Source organism: Homo sapiens, chromosome 17 (genome assembly GCF_000001405.40).
Source record: "Homo sapiens chromosome 17, GRCh38.p14 Primary Assembly".
In the NCBI taxonomy this organism is placed as follows: Eukaryota; Metazoa; Chordata; class Mammalia; order Primates; family Hominidae; genus Homo; species Homo sapiens.
The window spans coordinates 63,936,118-63,953,916 of NC_000017.11; the positions used below are offsets into that span (position 1 = coordinate 63,936,118).

The 17,799-nt window shown below is 56.7% G+C and overlaps 1 protein-coding gene across 1 annotated transcript in view, besides 16 other annotated features; it reads right to left on the reverse strand.

Moving 5' to 3' along the window:
* Window positions 1–17,799: part of a locus control region, noted in NCBI's record as "fragment (approximate range) that functions as an LCR in transgenic assays", that runs on past both edges of the window. NCBI's record gives the evidence for it as "EXISTENCE:transgenic organism evidence [ECO:0001131][PMID:8524268]".
* The window catches only part of SCN4A (sodium voltage-gated channel alpha subunit 4), a 34,365-nt gene continuing 19,002 nt past the window's right edge, over window positions 2,437–17,799 (reverse strand). The window contains exons 14-24 of the mRNA NM_000334.4: window positions 15,307–15,783; window positions 13,276–13,411; window positions 12,494–12,648; window positions 11,773–11,946; window positions 10,928–11,050; window positions 9,243–9,521; window positions 8,890–8,943; window positions 8,556–8,693; window positions 7,629–7,733; window positions 6,709–6,979; window positions 2,437–5,876 (exon numbers count right to left, since the gene is read on the reverse strand). Coding sequence (NP_000325.4) covers window positions 4,654–5,876; window positions 6,709–6,979; window positions 7,629–7,733; window positions 8,556–8,693; window positions 8,890–8,943; window positions 9,243–9,521; window positions 10,928–11,050; window positions 11,773–11,946; window positions 12,494–12,648; window positions 13,276–13,411; window positions 15,307–15,783 — 3,135 coding nt within the window. The 3' untranslated portion in view covers window positions 2,437–4,653. The remainder of the gene's footprint in view (window positions 5,877–6,708; window positions 6,980–7,628; window positions 7,734–8,555; window positions 8,694–8,889; window positions 8,944–9,242; window positions 9,522–10,927; window positions 11,051–11,772; window positions 11,947–12,493; window positions 12,649–13,275; window positions 13,412–15,306; window positions 15,784–17,799) is intronic.
* Window positions 8,892–12,039: a DNaseI hypersensitive site, noted in NCBI's record as "HSIII; the nucleotide coordinates are approximate for this feature". NCBI's record gives its function as "enhancer activity; PMID:14673137" and the evidence as "EXISTENCE:in vivo cleavage assay evidence [ECO:0001075][PMID:8524268]".
* Window positions 9,736–15,735: an insulator, noted in NCBI's record as "6 kb HSIII-HSV region (approximate range) necessary for insulation of transgenes against chromosomal position effects". NCBI's record gives the evidence for it as "EXISTENCE:transgenic organism evidence [ECO:0001131][PMID:24561805]".
* Window positions 10,371–10,944: an enhancer, noted in NCBI's record as "574 bp HSIII enhancer fragment". NCBI's record gives the evidence for it as "EXISTENCE:reporter gene assay evidence [ECO:0000049][PMID:14673137]".
* Window positions 10,381–10,399: a protein binding site, noted in NCBI's record as "HSIII FP4 Elk-1-binding site". NCBI's record gives the evidence for it as "EXISTENCE:protein binding evidence [ECO:0000024][PMID:14673137]".
* Window positions 10,735–10,767: a protein binding site, noted in NCBI's record as "HSIII FP3 AP-2-binding site". NCBI's record gives the evidence for it as "EXISTENCE:protein binding evidence [ECO:0000024][PMID:14673137]".
* Window positions 12,273–12,871: a DNaseI hypersensitive site, noted in NCBI's record as "HSIV, placenta-specific; the nucleotide coordinates are approximate for this feature". NCBI's record gives its function as "protects transgenes from chromosomal position effects in placental chromatin" and the evidence as "EXISTENCE:in vivo cleavage assay evidence [ECO:0001075][PMID:8524268, PMID:24561805]".
* Window positions 12,582–13,163: an enhancer, noted in NCBI's record as "H3K4me1 hESC enhancer chr17:62026059-62026640 (GRCh37/hg19 assembly coordinates)". NCBI's record gives its function as "activates a minimal SCP1, AML or CMV promoter by ChIP-STARR-seq in naive H9 embryonic stem cells {active_cell/tissue: H9 hESC(naive)}" and the evidence as "EXISTENCE:reporter gene assay evidence [ECO:0000049][PMID:30033119]".
* Window positions 13,164–13,743: an enhancer, noted in NCBI's record as "H3K4me1 hESC enhancer chr17:62026641-62027220 (GRCh37/hg19 assembly coordinates)". NCBI's record gives its function as "activates a minimal SCP1, AML or CMV promoter by ChIP-STARR-seq in naive H9 embryonic stem cells {active_cell/tissue: H9 hESC(naive)}" and the evidence as "EXISTENCE:reporter gene assay evidence [ECO:0000049][PMID:30033119]".
* Window positions 14,845–14,904: an enhancer, noted in NCBI's record as "active region_12570". NCBI's record gives its function as "activates an Ori minimal core promoter by ATAC-STARR-seq in GM12878 lymphoblastoid cells {active_cell/tissue: GM12878}" and the evidence as "EXISTENCE:reporter gene assay evidence [ECO:0000049][PMID:35858748]".
* Window positions 14,872–15,166: a silencer, noted in NCBI's record as "tiled region #9471; HepG2 Repressive non-DNase unmatched - State 20:ReprD". NCBI's record gives its function as "represses a minimal TATA promoter and a strong SV40 promoter by Sharpr-MPRA in HepG2 cells {active_cell/tissue: HepG2}" and the evidence as "EXISTENCE:reporter gene assay evidence [ECO:0000049][PMID:27701403]".
* Window positions 14,893–15,439: an enhancer blocking element, noted in NCBI's record as "547 bp HSV enhancer-blocking fragment". NCBI's record gives the evidence for it as "EXISTENCE:reporter gene assay evidence [ECO:0000049][PMID:21711161]".
* Window positions 14,893–15,439: a DNaseI hypersensitive site, noted in NCBI's record as "HSV; the nucleotide coordinates are approximate for this feature". NCBI's record gives its function as "enhancer-blocking element; PMID:21711161" and the evidence as "EXISTENCE:in vivo cleavage assay evidence [ECO:0001075][PMID:8524268]".
* Window positions 15,209–15,439: an enhancer blocking element, noted in NCBI's record as "231 bp HSV enhancer-blocking fragment". NCBI's record gives the evidence for it as "EXISTENCE:reporter gene assay evidence [ECO:0000049][PMID:21711161]".
* Window positions 15,395–15,439: a protein binding site, noted in NCBI's record as "45 bp HSV sF1 CTCF-binding fragment". NCBI's record gives the evidence for it as "EXISTENCE:protein binding evidence [ECO:0000024][PMID:21711161]".
* Window positions 15,395–15,439: a protein binding site, noted in NCBI's record as "45 bp HSV sF1 YY1-binding fragment". NCBI's record gives the evidence for it as "EXISTENCE:protein binding evidence [ECO:0000024][PMID:21711161]".

Genomic DNA, 17,799 nt, shown 5'->3' on the forward strand with positions numbered 1-17,799 from the left:
TCGGCTTCTCAAAGTGCTGGGATTACAGGCATGAGCCACTGTGCCCGGCCCAACTTTTTGTTTTAATTGATCTTTTGTGTTGTTTGTTTCAATTTCATTTGGTTCTGCTCTGATTTTTCTCATTTCTTCTCTTCTGCTGGGTTTGAGTTTAATTTGTTTTTGTTTCTCTGGTACCTTGAGGCATTTGTGGTCTTCCAGAGTTTTTGATGTAGGCATTTAATGCTATGAACTTTCCTCTTACTACCACTTTTGCTGTATCACAGAGGTTTTGAGAAGTTGTGTCATTATCATTCATTTCAAAGAATTTTTAAATTTCCATCTTGATTTTATTGTTAACCCCCAAATCACTCAAGAACAGATTAATTTCCATATATTTGTATAATTTTGAGGGTTCCTTTTGGAGTGGATTTCTAGTTTTATTCCACTGTGGTTGGAGAAGATACTTGATATAATTTTGATTTTCTAAAAGACACATGCACACGCATGCTTATAGCAGCACAATTCACAATTGCAAAGATATGGAACCAACCTGAGTGCCTACTAACCTATGAGTGGATAAAGAAAATGTGGTATATATACACCTCTTTATGGAATACTACTTAGCCATAAAAAGGAGTGAAATAGGCTGGGCATTGTGGCTCACACCTGTAATCCCAGTACTTTGGGAAGCTGAGGTGGGCGGATCACGAGGTCAGGAGATTGAGACCATCCTGGCTAACCAGGTGAAACCCTGTCTCTACTAAAAATACAAAAAATTAGCCGAGCGTGGTGGCAGGCGCCTGTAGTCCCAGCTACTTGGGAGGCTGAGGCAGGAGAATGGTGTGAACCCGAGAGACGGAGCTTGCAGTGAGCCGAGATCGCGCCACTGTACTCCAGCCTGGGCGACAGAGTGCGACTCCGTCTCAAAAAAAAAAAAAAAAAAAAGGAAGCGAAATAGCATCTTTTTGCAGCAACCTGGTTGGAGCTGTAGGCCATTATTCTAAGTAAAGTAACTCAGGAATGGAAAACCAGATAGCATATGTTCTCACTTGTAAGTGGGAGCTAAGCTATGAGGATGCAAAGGCACAAGAATGATATAATGGACTTTGGGAACTCAGTGGGGGAACGTTGAGGGAGGGGTGAGGGACAAAAGACTACATATTGGGTATAGTGTACACTGCTCAGGTGTCAGGTGCACTAAAATCTCAGAAATCACCACTAAAGAAATTATCCAGGTAACCAAAAAAAAAACTACCTGTACCCCCAAAACTATTGACATAAAAATTTTGAAAAAAAAAGTAAGAAGAAGCTCCCACTCCAGGGAGGGAAGACAGCACCCTGGGACCACTCAGACAACCCTGTAGAGATTCTCCACACCTCCCCTCGCACTCACGCACAGAGAGCTGCAAGGTGGAAGGTGCCGCAGAGACAATGGAACGACACTGGGGGGCAGCCTGAGGGCCACTCCCCATCCCCCACGCCAGTGCTACATCACCTCAGGACCCAGGAAGAGAGGGTGCAGAAATCCTGAAAAGAATTAAGTGCTTACTTGTCTGGAAGAATACAGCCCTGGGAGTCAGAAGTTGTTACAGAAAATAAAATTACAGGCTGGGCGCAGTGGCTCATGCCTGTAATCCCAGCAACTTGGAAGACCGAGGCAGGAGGATCACTTGAGGCCAGGAGGTTGAGACAAGCCTGGGCAACAGAGCAAGACCCCATCTCTATAAAAAACCATCCAGGTGTGGTGGCGTGTGCCTGTAGTCCCAGGCTCAGGTGGGAGGCTCAGGTGGGAGGATTGTTTGAGCCCTGGAGTTCGAAGCTGCAGTGAGCCATGATTGCACCATTGCACTCCAGTTTGGGTGACAGAGTGAGACCCTATCTCAAAAAAAAAAAAAAAAAAGAAAGAAAGAAAAAGAAAATTACATACAAGATTATATTTCACTCTCTGGGGGCTGTGGGCTAAACTTGCCGCATAAGAATATTCTTAGTCACGGGTCCACGTGACCCTGGGCTATCTGGGGTCAGAAGTCAGTCCTGGGGTCAGCGCCTCTGAGGAGAGGGAGAGGCTGTGCTGTGTACCCCACAGGCACCTTGAGGCCTCTGAGATGGGCAGAGAAGTGAAGGGGCCTCTGGGGAGGAGGAGCTGGGGACACAGAGTCCCAACAGGGATCACCTGGAAGAGAGGGAGTGTGGTGCTGCCTGTTGTGGGAGCCAGGTCTTGACCCCTGATCCTATCTGGTCTCTTGGATTCCAGCTAAGGGGCTTTTGTAAGGAGGCTGGAGAGAGCTGGACTGGGCCAGAGCGGGGAGCTGGGGCCTCCTTATCCTGCCTGGCCCCCTGAGAGGCTCCCGTGTCTTCCACGTTTGGCTCCAATCCCCACCGACCCTTTCTGCTTCTCACTGCCCTCAGCCCCCATCCGCATCCACATGCTGACATGCAGAAGGGAGAAGCCACATACCAGAGGCACCAAGGAGGGTTTATTGTAAGAACTGTACAAAGGAGCCCGCCTGCTGGCCTGGCGTGGGACCTGTTCCCCACTGGACCAGGCAGGAATGGGCATCCGTCTGCAGGGGAGGGGCCACAGGCAGGGAGAGGCCGGACCCGGCTCATCTACTCTTCCTCTGCAACCTGCACACAGTCCGAGGAGAATATCCAATCAAACAGATTTCTGAGGCTCCAGGGGCTGTGCCAGCCCAGGGCCCAGGAGGGCAAGGCAGAGGGGCAATGTGCCAGGAAGGGGAGACTGCCCCCATTAGACGAAACTTCTGAAGGAAGAGATGGAAGGAGTGGAGGCCTCCTTCCATAGAGGAGACATAGGCAGGAGGCAGGGAGCAGGGCTGAGGCCATGGGTGTGACAACGAGAAACAGGAAGGGGAGGAGAGGGGAGTGAGAGAGAGGGCTGTTCAGGCAGGACTGGGAGCAGGTGAGAGAGCATGGTGGACAATAAAGACAACTCTGGCCCATAGGCATGGCATGTAGATGTGCACACACACACACGTGTTCACACACTCAAGCACACATACATGTCTTGTTTTGAAGGTTTTGCTGCTTCCTGAATTTTAATCAAACTTTTCATGAGAAACAAGAAGAAAAAGAAGAGGCACTTAGGCCAACAGAATGCCCTGAGTACACACCTTACCACATGCGTTCACACGCATCCACACACTCACAGCACAGGTCCACTCTCCCAGGCACGGGAACACTCCCAGGGACAGGCCTGCACAGTATGACACACCAGCCGTACTCCATGGACCTTGAAACAGTCCAGGGCACACATATATACACATATATACAAAGATACCCAGACACGTGCATAATGCAGGCTCCAGTACACAGTGGTTCACACACACACATACAGTCACGCACTTGAACACACACACAGCTATACACACAGGCCTATAAAAGCATACAAGCAGACACACAGCCACAGGTACACACACAAGTGAATAAATCCAGCGACGCCTGAGCAGGTCTCTCACCCCTCCTCCTGAGCCAGCAGAGGCCTGGCCCTGCCATGCCCAGAACAGCGATGCAGCAGAAGTGCTTCTTCAGGCCACAGGAAGTTGGAAGGTTGAGCCTGAACCAGTTGGGCCTTCCCTGCTGCACGCCCCAGGGTCGAAATATCTAACCTGAGCTCAACTGTACATTCTTAGGATCACTTTGGGGAGAGAGGTGGGAAAGGTGAGAAAGAGACGGGCGTGGGGAGATGAGAAGGGAGATCTCTGAGGCTGGATGAGGCTCCTGGAGCCCTGGTGGTGCTCACGGAGGAGTGAGGCAGGGAGAGAGGGAAGGGGCGAGAATCTTCTTACTGAGCAGCAGGTCCCTGACTCCCGCTCAGGTCTGGATGCTCAGGCCATGTGCAGCGATCCAGCTGGCAGGACCCAGCCTGTCTCACTCCCCCGTGCTTCCTAGAAAAGGACAATTCATTCCCAAGTGGCATCCTTCCTTCTGCTCTTCCCCTAGGAGCCAGCCAGGGGAGCTACGGACCTGGACGTGGCCTAGGAAGAGGTTTCAGGAGTCACCATCCCAGCCCAAAGCAGCAGGATCCAGTGGCCAATCAGGTTTTGAGGCTTTGAGGAGCTATTTCTGAACCAGTCACATTTCCCTTTTCCAGGGAATTCCTGAGCTGGCCTGGTGGGTGAAGCTGCACCCCAGAGTCAAAGGGGGTGGGCTGGCAGTGCCCTGGGGTTAGGTGTCTGCACTCCCTGAGGTTAAGACATCTTTGTCTGGGCTGGGGCTGAGGGGTCTGAGCCACTTCCTGGGGAGAGGCCAGTGACCCTTAAGACTCTGGTGATGGGGGGCAACTGATCCCTCCACCGCAGGCCAGCTCCTCCTCAAGTGAGGGGCAGAGATTCGAATGTTCTGACCTCCCCCAGGCCAAAAGGAGGGGCGACAGGGCCCAGAGGAGGTCAGAGCAACTTGCAGGTTAAATCTTGGAGGCAGGGGCCTCAGACCCAGCATGGAGCCCCTGAGCGCAATTCCCATTTCCCATGGTCTGGGAACGCAGGCGCTCGGGCCTGGGTGTCAGCCCCAGTGTGGCCAAATCCTGTCCCCCATCAGGGAGCCAGGCACAGTCCCAGATTCAAAGCCCTCCTCCCTCACTCTGTGTGCAGGCACCACGGGGGAGCTCTGGGGACTATGCCGAGACTCAGTGGGCCACCCCGATGCTGCCTGCTAGACAAGAGACTCCTTGACACCTGGGCGCACAGTCTGCCCTGGGGGAGGGGCGGGAGGCCAGGCAGTGTCTGAGGGGCTGATGGGCATCAGCCCCATAGTGGGTCCGGCGTCCCCTGCCTCGCCCTTCTCCTCCGGGCTTGGCGAGCTGCTGTTCCCATTCTCGTGGCCATACATCTTGCTCATGGTGTTGGCAAGCAGCCCCTCCTTCTCAGGGGCGTCATCCCCGCTGCCGTCGTGGCTGTGGCGGTACATGTAGGATGCCTGCTTCATGGAGCGCTGTAGCAGGTGCCGGCGGTAGGCCCTCTGGATCTTGATGGCGCACACCTCCTCGTGCTTCCTCTTGAGGGTGGTGGTGATGGGCTCGTAGGACACCTTGGAGGGGTTGGCTGCCATGAACTTCTCCTCCATGGTCTGCTTGAGGGCGTCCATTTCCCCAGAGTCACCCAGGACCTCTTTGGTCAGGGCAAAGAGGATGTCCAGGCAGTGGATCTTGTCCCCTGGCACCATGGGCAAGTCCAGTGTGATGAGCTTGATCTTGTTGGGCTTGGCAATCCTCAGCGGTTCCTGCAGGGTGTCCACGAAGTCTGAGAGGCGGCTGTAGGCGATGAACTGGGTGGCGTCGGGGTCGAACTTCTCCCATGTCTCGTAGAACATCTCAAAGTCATCTTCACCAAGGGGCTCGCTGCTCTCCTCTGTGGCCACATTGAAGTTCTCCAGGATGATGGCGATGTACATGTTGACCACGATGAGGAAGGAGATGATGATATAGCTGCAGAAGAAGCAGATGCCGATGGAGGGGTTGCCGCAGTCACCCTTGACACTGGTGCCCGGGTTCTCCAGGTTGGGGTCACAGTCTGGGGGCCCGCTGTTGAGGATGGGGTTGAGGAGCCCGTCCCAGCCGGCCGACGTGGTGATCTCGAACAGGCAGATGATGCTGTTGCCGAAGGTCTCGAAGTTGAACATATCATCGATGCCCGACTCCTTCTTGACGTAGGCAAAGTTGGACATGCCGAAGATGGAGTAGATGAACATGACCAGGAAGAGGAGGAGGCCGATGTTGAAGAGGGCAGGCAGCGACATCATGAGGGCGAACAGCAGCGTCCGGATGCCCTTGGCCCCGCGGATCAGCCGCAGGACACGCCCAATCCGCGCCAGGCGGATCACACGGAACAGCGTGGGTGACACGAAGTACTTCTGGATCAGGTCAGAGAGGGCAAGGCCTGCGGGGAGAAGCTAGTGAGGACGCTGCCACTGGGGAGGGGGGCCGGCACAGGGTGTGGGGAGCATGCGGGGCTCAGGGGGCCCGGCCTGGTGTGCTCTGCTCAAGTCTCAGAGCACAGCCCAGATGACTGACAGGTGAGGCTGGGCTCTCCCACGGGTCTTGGGGCCAGGGGCTGCAGCTTTGTCTTGATGGAACTGGAGGTGGGATACCCTGAAGTGGGGGAGTGTAAGGCCCATTCCCAAGGCTGTTTGCAAATGCCACTGGTGTGTGTGTGTGTGTGTGTGTGTGTGTGTGTGTGTGAAAGAGACAGAGAGAGAGAGACAGAGAGAGAGGGAGACAGAACAGCTGCGTGACTCTGGGTCTCCACTTCACTTGTTTGTGCCTCAATTTCCTTACCTGTAAAATGGGAACAACAGTTCCTGATCATGACATTGTTATGAACAACAGGTGAGATAACACCTGTCAAGCGCACAGCACAGTTGATAATAAATGGCAGCTACTTTCTATCATAAGCACACGCATGACTGTGCACTTCTCAGTGCACACAGACATGGAACCATCTTTTACACTTTTCGCTCAGTATGTGGGCACCTGAGTGCACGTCTTCTGGTCAGTTGTGTGTCCTGAGGTGCATCCATGTGTGCGCGGGTGACGATCTGCCTGTGTGCACACCATGTGCCTTTGTGCATTGAGAGTGAATGGCAGGCACGCACAGGCATGTGTCTGGGTGAGCGTGTGAGGGTGCAGGGGCAGGTGTGTCCGTGTGAGGATGGGTCTTCCCGAGTGCCTCAGCTCAGTGCTGCCCTGCCGGTCCAGCCCGCCCCGCTCACCCACAATGGACAGGATGACGACCACGAAGTCAAAGATGTTCCAGCCAACGGTGAAGTAGTACTGGCGCAGGGCGAGCATCTTGAGCACGCACTCCCCTGTGAAGATGATGATGAAGATCATGTTGATGTTGTACAGGATGTCCACCTTGAGCTGGCTCTGGTTGTCTGTCTCCACCATCATGGTGACCATGTTGAGGCAGATGAGGATCATGATGGTGATGTCGAAGGCCTGCTTCGTCACGAGGTCATACACCATGCCCTGGATCTTGTTCTGCAGCATGGGTGGGAGTGGATGTGGAGGAGTTGGGGTGGCCAGGCCCAGACAGGACATGGACAGGCAGGAGGCACAGGATGGCACCACAGCATGACAGAGATGACAGAGATGACAGAGAGAGAGAGAGAGAGAGAGAGAAAGGAGGTGTTGGGGGTTGTGGTGGAGTCAGCCAGGGGAGGAGGGGTGACCCATCAGATCATGACAGGTCTGGGACCAGGTCATTTTATGGGGTTCATGGTCCTCCCTTCAAGATCCCCCAGATGCTCCTCCCCTTTCTTCCAAAGTCATTGCTCCTGGGTAGGGTGTCTGGACATCCTCCTCCTTCCACTTGTGGGAGCCCTTGCCCCAGGGGCCACTGGGGTCCCAGGTGGGAGGTAGGTGGGCACTGAGGAGCTTCGTGGGACCAAGTGAGGGTAAAGCACTCACTAGAGTTTCATGGACAGCCTCTGTGCATATGGTGTCTCTGTGGCACTACAAAGAGGCGTCCCTCCCTGCAGGTAGACCAAGTCCCCTGCCCCTGGGGTGGGCCTAACCTCACCCAGGGACACAGCCTGGTGGGTGGAAGGCAGGAAACCTTTTACCCCCATCAGTCCCCTAGGCAGGAGCCTGGCAGCACACACAGGACAGGGGGCCCAGAGGTCTGTACCTGGGGCCGGGGAATTGGCTTCTGAGGCTTCTTGGAGCCAAGCTTCTTCATGGCGTTATAGTATTTCTTCTGTTCCTCCGTCATAAAGATGTCTTTCCCCCCTAAGTATAGTGGGATAGGGCTTGTCAGGTTGAGGTGCAGTTCCCCTTCCTGCCTCCAGGACCACCCCCACCTCAGTGGGGCACCTCACCTTTAAGGCAGCCCCCGCCCCTGTTGATCAGCCTGGAGGAAGCGGGAGGGTCAGAGATGGAGGGACAAGGGGAGAATGCGGGACCGAGGAGAAGGGAGGGAAGGGGAGTGGGGATCAATGCTGTCTTGCAGCCTGTTTCTGGCTACTTTTCATCAACATCTCGCTGAGCCCTAGAGTAACCCACAAGGCAGGTTGTAGCAGCCTCGTCTTTTTTTTTGTTGTTGAGATGGAGTCTCGCTCTGTCACCAGGCTGGAGTGCAGTGGCGCGATCTTGGCCCACTGCAACCTCCATCTCCTGGGTTTAAGCGATTCTCCTGCCTCAGCCTCCTGAGTAGCTGGGATTACAGATGCCTGCCACCACGCCTGGCTAATTTCTTTTTTTAATTTTTTTTGTATTTTTAGTATAGACAGGGTTTTACCACGTTAGCCAGGGTGGTCTCGAACTCCTGACCTTGTGATCCGCCCGCCTCGGCCTCCCAAAGTGCTGGGATTACAAGCATGAGCCACCGTGCCTGGCCCAGCAGTCTCATTTTACAGATAAGGACACCGAGGTTCATGGAGGCCAAGCCACTTGTTCAAGGTGGCCTGGTGGGACTGGGACCCAAGCTAGCTGCCTGAACCAACAACCTGGTAGGTGCTCAGGCAGCGTTTGTGGGTTTGTGCAATGGAGAGTGGACAAAGGAGGCAGGAGGGAGGCCCAGCACCGGGAGGGCCCGAGGGGCTGGGCTGATACTCATCTTCTTCTTCTGCTGGTTGAAGTTGTCAATGATGACGCCAATGAAGAGGTTGAGGGTGAAGAAGGAGCCAAAGATGATGAAGATGACAAAGTAGAGGTACATGTAGAGGTTCACCTCGTACTGCGGCTGCTCCTCCTTCTGTGGGAGCCACAGGGTGGGACGGCGTGGGTTTGCACGCTGGCTTCTCCCTGCCCCCCACAGCCCTGAGGGCAGGACCCATCCACCCCCAGGGCTGCCAAGTCTCGGGGACAGAACGTGCTGCCAAGTCTCCCTCCTGTCTTGAGTCCTCTTCCCTGGCTCGCTCACCAGCCACATCTCAGCGACCCCGACTCACCTCCCGGGAGTCCACGGCTGCATACATGATGTCCATCCAACCCTTGAAGGTGGCCTGAGAGAGTGTGGTTGGGGAGTGAGCCGGGGGGCTGCTCCCTGCTTTCATCATCCATGAGTTTCCCTCCCCCACCCAACCTGGTCCTCCCCTGCCAGAGGCCGCCTGCCAGAGCCCCACTGGGCTAGCATCAAATAAAGACCAGAGAGGTCTAGACACTGCCTGGGGATCCCACAGCATTGGAAGCAGGGTGGGCGGTCCCCTAACCAGGAGTGACACTGGGGTTGGGTACAACGAGAGGACCGGGGTGGGGGGCACCTCCATCCAGGTTCCCGGCAGGGGTGGTGGGTCACACTCACCACCTGCAGGAGGGAGAGGTAGCCCAGACCCACGTTGTCGTAGTTGACCTTGACATTGAGCCAGCGGACCTGGCCTGTGTGCATGAGGCTCTCGCACTCAGACTTGTTGTTGACCTCGGAGATGTCGAACCTCTCAGAGGTGGTGGTGTTGATGCAGTAGTAGAACTTGCCGGCAAACAGGTTGACACCCATGATGCTGAAGATCAGCCAGAAGATGAGGCAGACAAGCAGCACATTCATGATGGAGGGGATGGCGCCTAGGAGGGCGTTCACCACCACCTGGGGGCCAGGGGGTCCATTGCCAGTGCCTCTCCCAGCCTCTGAGAGAGGGCTCCACATCTCTACGCCACCCAGGGGACCAGGCAGAGCTGGGCATTGTCAATTAGGGAGGGCTTCCTAGAGGAGGGCCGACCTGCTGGGCTGTGTGTGTGCAGGTTGGGGGTGGTAAGGGGGAGGGGGAGGGAGCTGCAGGCCTGGTGGTCAAGAGGGCTCTCTGCTTGACTGGAGCCATCAGCCCAGAGTAGGGGTGCTGGGTTTCTCTGGAAGCAGCCTGGTCACAGGTCACCAGGCAGGAGACAAACACTCTTTGCTCAGCCCCCATAGGAAACTCAGCTCACGTGACCCAGCCCCTGCTCATGGGTTTTCAGCCCCAGAGCCCCAGACACAGGCACAGAAAAGAGGGCACCAGGGTCTTTGAAGCAGCAGGAGCTCTGGGACAGAAGCCCCATCCCCACCAGCCCTAGTCACACAGCCCACCTGACCACTGCAGACTGGGCTGGATCTGACACCCCTCTCTTTTTAAGGAGGAGCCATTTCATGACCTCTAGAGTGGGTGGCACAAGCCTGGTGTGCCCAGGGGAGCTCTGTTCCTGGTTGGGGCACTGACCAGCTGCATGGCCACAGGCAGCTTGTTTCCCCTCAACGGGAGGGCTCCCTGGCTCTGGGGGGTCAGAGGGCCCAGCATTCGGCTGGCCTCTTGCAGGGACAGGAAGGGGCCGCTTGGGGGGGCTCGCCATGGCCTCTAGATTTGCAGAAATTTGTCCCGCTGGAGCAGGTCTTGCTCCCAGCAGATCTCTCTTCCTGGGGAAGTCCCATTTTTCTTGCCCCCCCCCCCACCCCGCCGCAACCCTGTGTTTACCTGCCACTTCCGCTCTCCAGGGCCTGAGTGGATCTTCCCCAAACTGACCCCAAGCTCAAGGGCATGGCCCCAACCGTGACGCCAAGCTCATCAGTGGGGGGTGAGGGGAAGGCTCAGAGCCAGGGTGCAGGCACCTTGTTTCAAAGCCCTGGGTGGCTCAGTCTGAGGCTGGGGAGGGCCACCCATAAACCCACTCATAAACCACCCATAAACACCACATAAACCTGCCTTCCTTCCTCCTCTTCCCTGGCCGTGGGGCCCTCCTGGGTGCTTCTGCAGTCTCTGCTCCCCTCAAGTAGTGGCAGAGGTAAGCTAAGGGCGGGCTGGATCGGGGGCTGAGAGTGGGAATGGGGCAGGCAGAAGATGGCCTGCGGGGAGGACAGCTAGGGGAGGTGGGGGCCAGACCTGGCCTCAGGCAGGGCCGTGGGTCCAAGCTCTCTGCTTCCCTCTGGTGGTGGTTGGAGTATAGACATGCACCCTCCACCCTGCAGTGAAGGTGGCCGGTCCCCCATCCCCAGCCCACCCCAGAGGCCCCTTCAGCACCCACCCTCATGCCCTCGAATCGGGACAGTGCCCTCAGGGGACGCAGGGCCCGCAGTGTCCGCAGGGATTTGATGGGTCCCAGCTCCGAGTAGCCCAGCCAGTTGGCCACCAAGCTGATGATGGAGACCTGCAGGGGAGGGGTGAGGGGATCAGTGCGTGCAAGGCCCCCAGCCTCCCCTCAAGCCCAGGCCACGGGGGTCTTCCTGGACTCACAGCTCCTGGTTGTCTCCCTTAGATCCCCTCCCTAGTGGGTGGTCCTGTCCGGTGGGAAGAGCAGCCCTGGGACCTGTCCCAGTACCTGTAGGAGCCTGGCACCACCTCAGTGATGTCATCAACCAACTGGGGATGACTGTGAGTAGGAGGGATGGTACCCGACTCCTTCGGGGAGGCCTGTGAGCCCATCTAAGAGGCTAAGAAAATCCTCCATTCCTGGCCGGGCATGGTGGCTCACACCTGTAATCCCAGCACTTTGGGAGGCCAAGGTAGGAGGATTGCTTGAGCCCAGGAGTTCAAGACCAGCCTGGGCAACATAGCAAGATCCCATCTTAAAAATAAATAAATAAAATGTATGAAGTAAGAAACTCCTCCACTCCTATTGGCAGGGATGGTAAGTAGCCCTCCTGCCTGCTGTCTTCCCCCAAGGCCTCCTTTCCCTGAGGAGAAGGGAAGGCCTCCCAGTCCCTAACCCCTCCCTGGGCAGCTCTGTCTGAGAAGGGCAGCACTGATTGAGGGTCTGACTCTGGGGGTGGCCTCGGGCAGGTCCTGCCCTTCAGGGCGTGGGCTTCCTGAGGTCCCCGCCACACTGACAGCCTCTGGATGTAGCTACGGGGCCAGCGTGGGGGGACTCACATCCACGATGAGGAAGTCGAGCCAGCACCAGGCGTTGGTGAAGTACACCTTAAAGCCGTAGGCCACCCATTTGAGCAGCATCTCCATGATGAAGATGTAGGTGAAGACCTTGTCGGCATATTCTAGGATGGTGCGAATGACTCGCCGCTGCTCAATGTAGATGTCCTCGAAGGCCTGGGGGCACCAGCACCACCAGGGTGGCTGGGGTCCAGCAGGCTGGGGTGGCAGCCAGGTCCCCTGCCCTGCTCTATGCTGCTGGTTCCCGGGGGTCTGCCGTGGGGGCCCAGCCCAAGGGACAGGCTGTCCGCATCTCCTGGACTCCCACCACCCATCATGGGGATGAGAGCGTTTCCCAGTGGGGAGAATCCCTCAGCCCCCCTTCTCCAAGCCCAACAACAGCAAATTGCCATCATCTGCTGGGCAGGTCCACAGTGACACATCTTCAGTCCTGCGCCCCCAGTTCCCAGGGGTCTCCTGCCTCCTTATCAGCAGAGAGTGCACAAAAGTCAGCACCCACGTAATAAGGGAGGCACCTCTGCCATGTTAGAAAGTCAGCACATCCTATAACCTATCCCGGAGGCACAGCGAGTTCCTTTAGGATTCTCAGGGTTTGGGACTGACCAGAGCATGGCCCTTCCTGTGTGTGGAGACAGGGAGCCCCAAGAGGACCTGCTGTGGGCCTGGCCCCTGCCCCTGACCCGTGCTCCCAGGCAGTGCCTACCAGAGCCCCACTGCTGAGCAGGATCATGAAGACAATGAAGGTCTCGAACCAGTTGTGCTCGACAATCTTGAAGCAGGCCCTGCGCAGAGTCCACCACTTCTTCCCACGGCCCTGGGAGATGTCCACGTAGAGGCAGGGCCAGCGCTGCACGCAGGCTGATGGGGTGAGGGGGGACAGGGACAGGCACCACATCATGGGCCTGGGGTTGCCTTGGGGTGCACAGTCAGCGCCCTCCCATGGCATCCCAGGATGCCCCTCTCCAGCTCCCAGACCCAGGGCCCCCACCTCCTCCCTCACCCAGCTCCATCTGGCTCACATGGGGGACTCAGGACCTCCCTTCACAGCTGGATCCAACATGCGTCAATGGCTGCTGGGGATGGGCATGCAGAGGAAAGGCCTCCTGGCCCCCAGCCCCAGTGCTGCCCCACCCCCCACCTCGCCCAGGCGGTCTCCATCCTGCACAGCCCAGCAAGCTCTATGGACAAGGACATTTCTCCAGTGCCATGTCCTGAAGGCCTTGCTCCCTGAAGATGGAGGGGAGGATCTCAGGAGCTGACACCCACACTCCTGCACGTTGGCTCCAAGCTAGGTCTGCACCAAGGGCTCTGCATGGATCTTGCACCACAGTTCTGGGCATGCACTGCCACCACCCCTAGACACGTGAGGCACGGGGATGGCCAGGCAGCCCCAGGTCCGTGTGCTTTTGGTCCTGGTGTAGCCTGCCCCTTGCAGGGGCTGCAGGCCTGGGGGAGACACCCAGATGAGGTGAGGGGTGCCCTCACCCTCAGTGAAGCACTCCTCAGGCTGCTCCCCCTCGGGGTTCTCCTCTGCCTGCTCCTCAGGGTCCTCCTCGGGGGGCTTGTAGTCAGCTGTGCTGCAGACGGACGAGTTCCCATCATAGAGAGGCTGCGGCGGCTTCTGCGGAGGCCACAGGGTCACATGACATCTGGGTCCCTGAGAGACCCCCTCATCCTCCTACCAGATGGGGCAGGATGGGAGACCAGAAGGGAAGGGAAGAAGAGAGGGAGGAGCAAACTCATCCATTCATTCATTCATCCAGCCCTGGATGGTCGAGGAACCACGGGGACGTAGGTGGCCCTGGTCATGCCCGCATGACACTTATATAAGGAGTGGGGCGGGGCTGATGCCTGGGAAGGGACGGTAAGGGCATGAGGACACATGCGAAGGCCTCAGATAAGGGAGGAGGCGGGGACCCCGGCCCGAGTGGGGGGTCTGGGAGGCATGGGGGGCCTGAAGGTAGCTCTGAGGGGGCAGGGGTATGAAAAGGGGTCAGGATGGAGCCAGGCTATCACAGCCCTCAGAACATGGGCGTGTGGTGCCCCTAGCGTCTGAGCCTTCCCACCCGCAGGGTCTGTTTGGCTGAGGAATCCAGAAAGGGTGGAAAATGTTCCCCAGCCAAAGCCTCCATCCAGTGCCAAGGGAACCTGATCAGTGTTGGGAGCGGGAGTGGGGGAGGCGGGTGCTCCAGCCGGGCCAGGCTTCCTCCCACCTCCTCCTGCTGGGCCAGGCCAGCTTCCCGGCCCCAGACTCCACCCGGCAGGGGACCCCTTCAAGGCTGAGGGTGAGGCCTCTGAAGAGAAGGAAGAAGAGGGCAACTTGGGGGGCAGCTCTGTATCCAGAGTGGTGACCAGAAAACCACCATGGCCGGGGTGGGGGTCCTTGTTTTCATTAGACTAAAAGGGAAACTGAGGCACAGAGTGTTAGGTCAGCCAGGGCATCCACTGAGTTGCTTGCCCCGATTGTGCACTCAACTCCCTAAATCTCCCTTGGAGTTGTGCTCGCCCTCCTTGAACAAGTCCCCAGGCCCCGGCCCCGGCCCCGGGGAGCCTGGGACTTTGGTGCTCTCCAGCTCCCCCGCCACCTGAGTGCCTCATACCGAGGTCTGTGCCACAGTTGCCTGGGTATTTATAGCTCACAGGCACTCGCTTCCTGGTAAGCCAGCATATTTGGGGGGAATAAGGAGTCAAAAGCTTTCAGGGCAAAGTTCATTAGGCTCAGGCTGATGGTGCAGGGGTGGGCAGGGGCCCTCGTCCTAGCTCCTGTATGAGTCCTTTCCCTGCCAGAGCTGGACAGTGGGGAAGGGGGCTCAAGACCCAGGCAGGGTCAGCCTCAGCCTCAGCCTCAGCTGCTGGGGGTTACCACCGCTGCGTTCCTGTCCCTTCCTCGACCTCGCAGTGGAGGGGTGGGGAGGGGCATCTGAGCCCAGCAGCACACCCCCTGCATGGCTGAGGGGTCAGGGCTCCTGCCTGAGGCTTCTGTCCTCCTTGTCCTCAACTCCCGTTGGCCCCTAGCTCCTCTCCTGAATCCCCTGCCTGGATCTGGCACTTTGGCCCACACTGGGAGGTTGGGAGCAGACCCAGGTGGGGTCTAAACAGAGATAGAGGATAAGTGTGAGGACTGGGCAAGGGGCCTCAAACCCAGAGGAGAATATGTAAGAGAGGCCTCTCAGGTCCTGGTCCTGGAGCTGCGGTGCCCAGGTAAAAGCAGCATGTCCAAGGGCACCACCTGCTGGTGAGAGGGGCCCAGGTGTTCTGGTCCGAGGGAATCAGGGTTTCTGGACAGACAGGGTTGATCATAATAACCACATCAATAACGATAGTGACTGCCACCACTCACAGGGCGCGGACTGCATGCTTTACATACAGCGTCTCACATAATGCTTGCAACAATGCCATAGGGCACCACCCCCATTTTACAGCTGGAGAAACTGAGGCTCAGAGAGGACTTAGGGCTTGCTCCAGGTCACAGGAGAATTTGAAGCCGGGTCTGTCTGAGCCCCAGCCCCGGCTCACCTTGCTATCCTCAGGCTCTGAGAAAGTGTCGGTTTCCTCCTCGGTGGGCATCTCCAGGTCGGACTCCTCGGAGGCGATGGGCACCTGTATGGTCAGGTAGGGGTTGTTGATGAAGTTAAGGTGGTCCAGCTCGAGGCTGGATGGGGGGCCGTCAGCCAGGCCCATGTGGTTCAGGATGTGATTGTCCTTCTTCAGGTCCTCCTCGGGCGGCTCCTTCTTCTCATCCTCGGGGGCAGTCTCCCCCGCCTCTCCAGCCTCCCCGGCCCCGTCAGCCTCCCCGAGGCTGAGCATGATGTCCTTGGGGCTCAGGATCTTGCCATGCAGCAGCCCCAGGAGGAAGGCCTTGGCAAAGCCGATGCCCAACTTGATGCGCCCGATGGCAATCTGCAGGTTGTTCATCTCGCCATCCTCATCCGAGGCTGCCAGACTGTCGGCGCTGAAGGAGCTCAGCAGCAGAGCCAGGAACAGGTTCAGGACCTGGGGCATGGGGTCAGGGGGAGCCTCACATCAGTCCCCGGGACCCAGAGGGTGCCACCTTCAGCCAGCACAGGGGTCCTCGGTCTACAGATCCAAACTACCACATGTTGGGCATTTAAAAGAACGCCACCTAAGAGGTGTTCACAACTGCTCATGGAGGTGATGGTTATTATCCCTTCTGCAGATGGGGAAACTGAGGCTTGGGCTTCTGAGAGGACTCTGCTACCCAGGGCAGAGGCAGGGTTTAGGGAGGCCTGCTGGGGGACAGGAACTCTCTCCATGACTGTCCTTTTTTTTCTTTTTTTTTTTTCGAGATGGAGGAGTCTCCCTCTGTTGCCTCCAGACTCCGGGCTGGAGTGCTGTGGCGCGATTTCGGCTCACGGCAACCTCCACCTCCCAAGTTCAAGTGCCACCATGCCCAGCTAATCTTTGTATTTTTTGTAGAGACGGGGTTTCAACATGTTGCCCAGGCTGGTCTCAAACTCCTGACCTCAAGTGATCCGCCTGCCTCGGCCTCCCAAAGTGCTGGGATTAGAGGCATCACCACGGTGCCTGGCCCATGACTGTCCTTTACCTCCACTTCTGGAGGATGCGGAACAAAGAACTGGGCTCAAGTCGCCGAGCTTCCAGGACTTACTGGGAACCTTTATCTTTTGTGCCTTCTTCTCCACCTCTGTTAAGTGGGACTTTATAGACCCCGCACTCCTGGAGTGCAGAAGCTTGGCCCCTGCTACTCTGGAAGGGACATCTGACCTACTATTTACCCTCTTTTCTCCTCTTGGGGTTTCCGACTCCATCTATTCTGGTTCTTGTCCCACATCCCTACGGAAAGACTTAGGAGGCTACTGCTGCTCCCCCCCAGCACCCCCACCCACTTTATTTTCCAGTGGATAGACATTTCCTGAGCCCCCGTCACTGCATGAATGGCCTCAGGGAGCTCACAGACCAGCAGAGACAGAGAGCAGATCAATCACATGCAATACTGTGGGTTTGGGTGGCAGCAGAGACTGGAGTGCACAGCTTTTGAAACCACATTGCAGGGCTCTGAACCCCAGTTTATTAGCTGTGTGCTCTGAGGCAATTTGCCTCACTGCCCTGTGCCTCAGTTTCCTCATCTGTAAAAAGGAGATTATCCAAGTGTTCCTCCCATTGTTGTGAGGATTAAAGGATCAATAAAAGCCCAGGCGCAGTGGCTCACACCTATAATCCCAGCACTTTGGGAGGCTGGGGCAGGCGGATCACGAGGTCAGGAGATCAAGACAATCCTGGCTAACATGGTGAAACCCCGTCTCTACTAAAAATACAAAAAGTTAGCTGGGCGTGGTGGCATGCGCCTGTAGTCCTAACTACTTGGGAGGCTGAGGCAGGAGAATCGCTTGAACCCGGGAGGTGGAGGTTGCAGTGAGTCGAGATCACGCCATTGCACTCCAGCCGGGGCGACAGAGCGAGACTCCATCTCAAAACAAAACAAAACAAAAAAACAAAAAACAAACAAAAAACCCATCAATACAAGTAGAGCACACAGTAGGCACTCAACGCATGTTGGCTGTTATTATGTTTGAAATAATAGAAAGCTATACAAGGTGCTCCAGCCTGGCCAACATGGTGAAACCATGTACTAAAAATACAAAAATTAGCTGGGCGTGGTGGTGCACCTATAATCCCAGCTACTTGGGAGGCTGAGGCAGGAGAATCACTTGAACCCGGGAGGCGGAGGTTGCAGTGAGCCCAGATTGCACCCACTGCACTCCAGCCTGGGTGACAGTGCGAGACCCTGCCTTGAAGAAAAAAAAAAAAAGAAAAAGAAAAAGAAAGAAAGAAAGAAAGTTATACAAGGTGTAGGAAGAGTGTGGTGAACTCTGAGGCCAGCTCAGCATTTTATAGATGAGTAAACTGAGTCCTAGAGAGGTGGCGTGGCCTGCTCTAGGACACAGAGCATAGCCAGGACTCGAACCAGGATTCTAGTCATTGTATAACTTTAGAAGGCATCTTTCACTTAGCCTACAAGGTGAATGG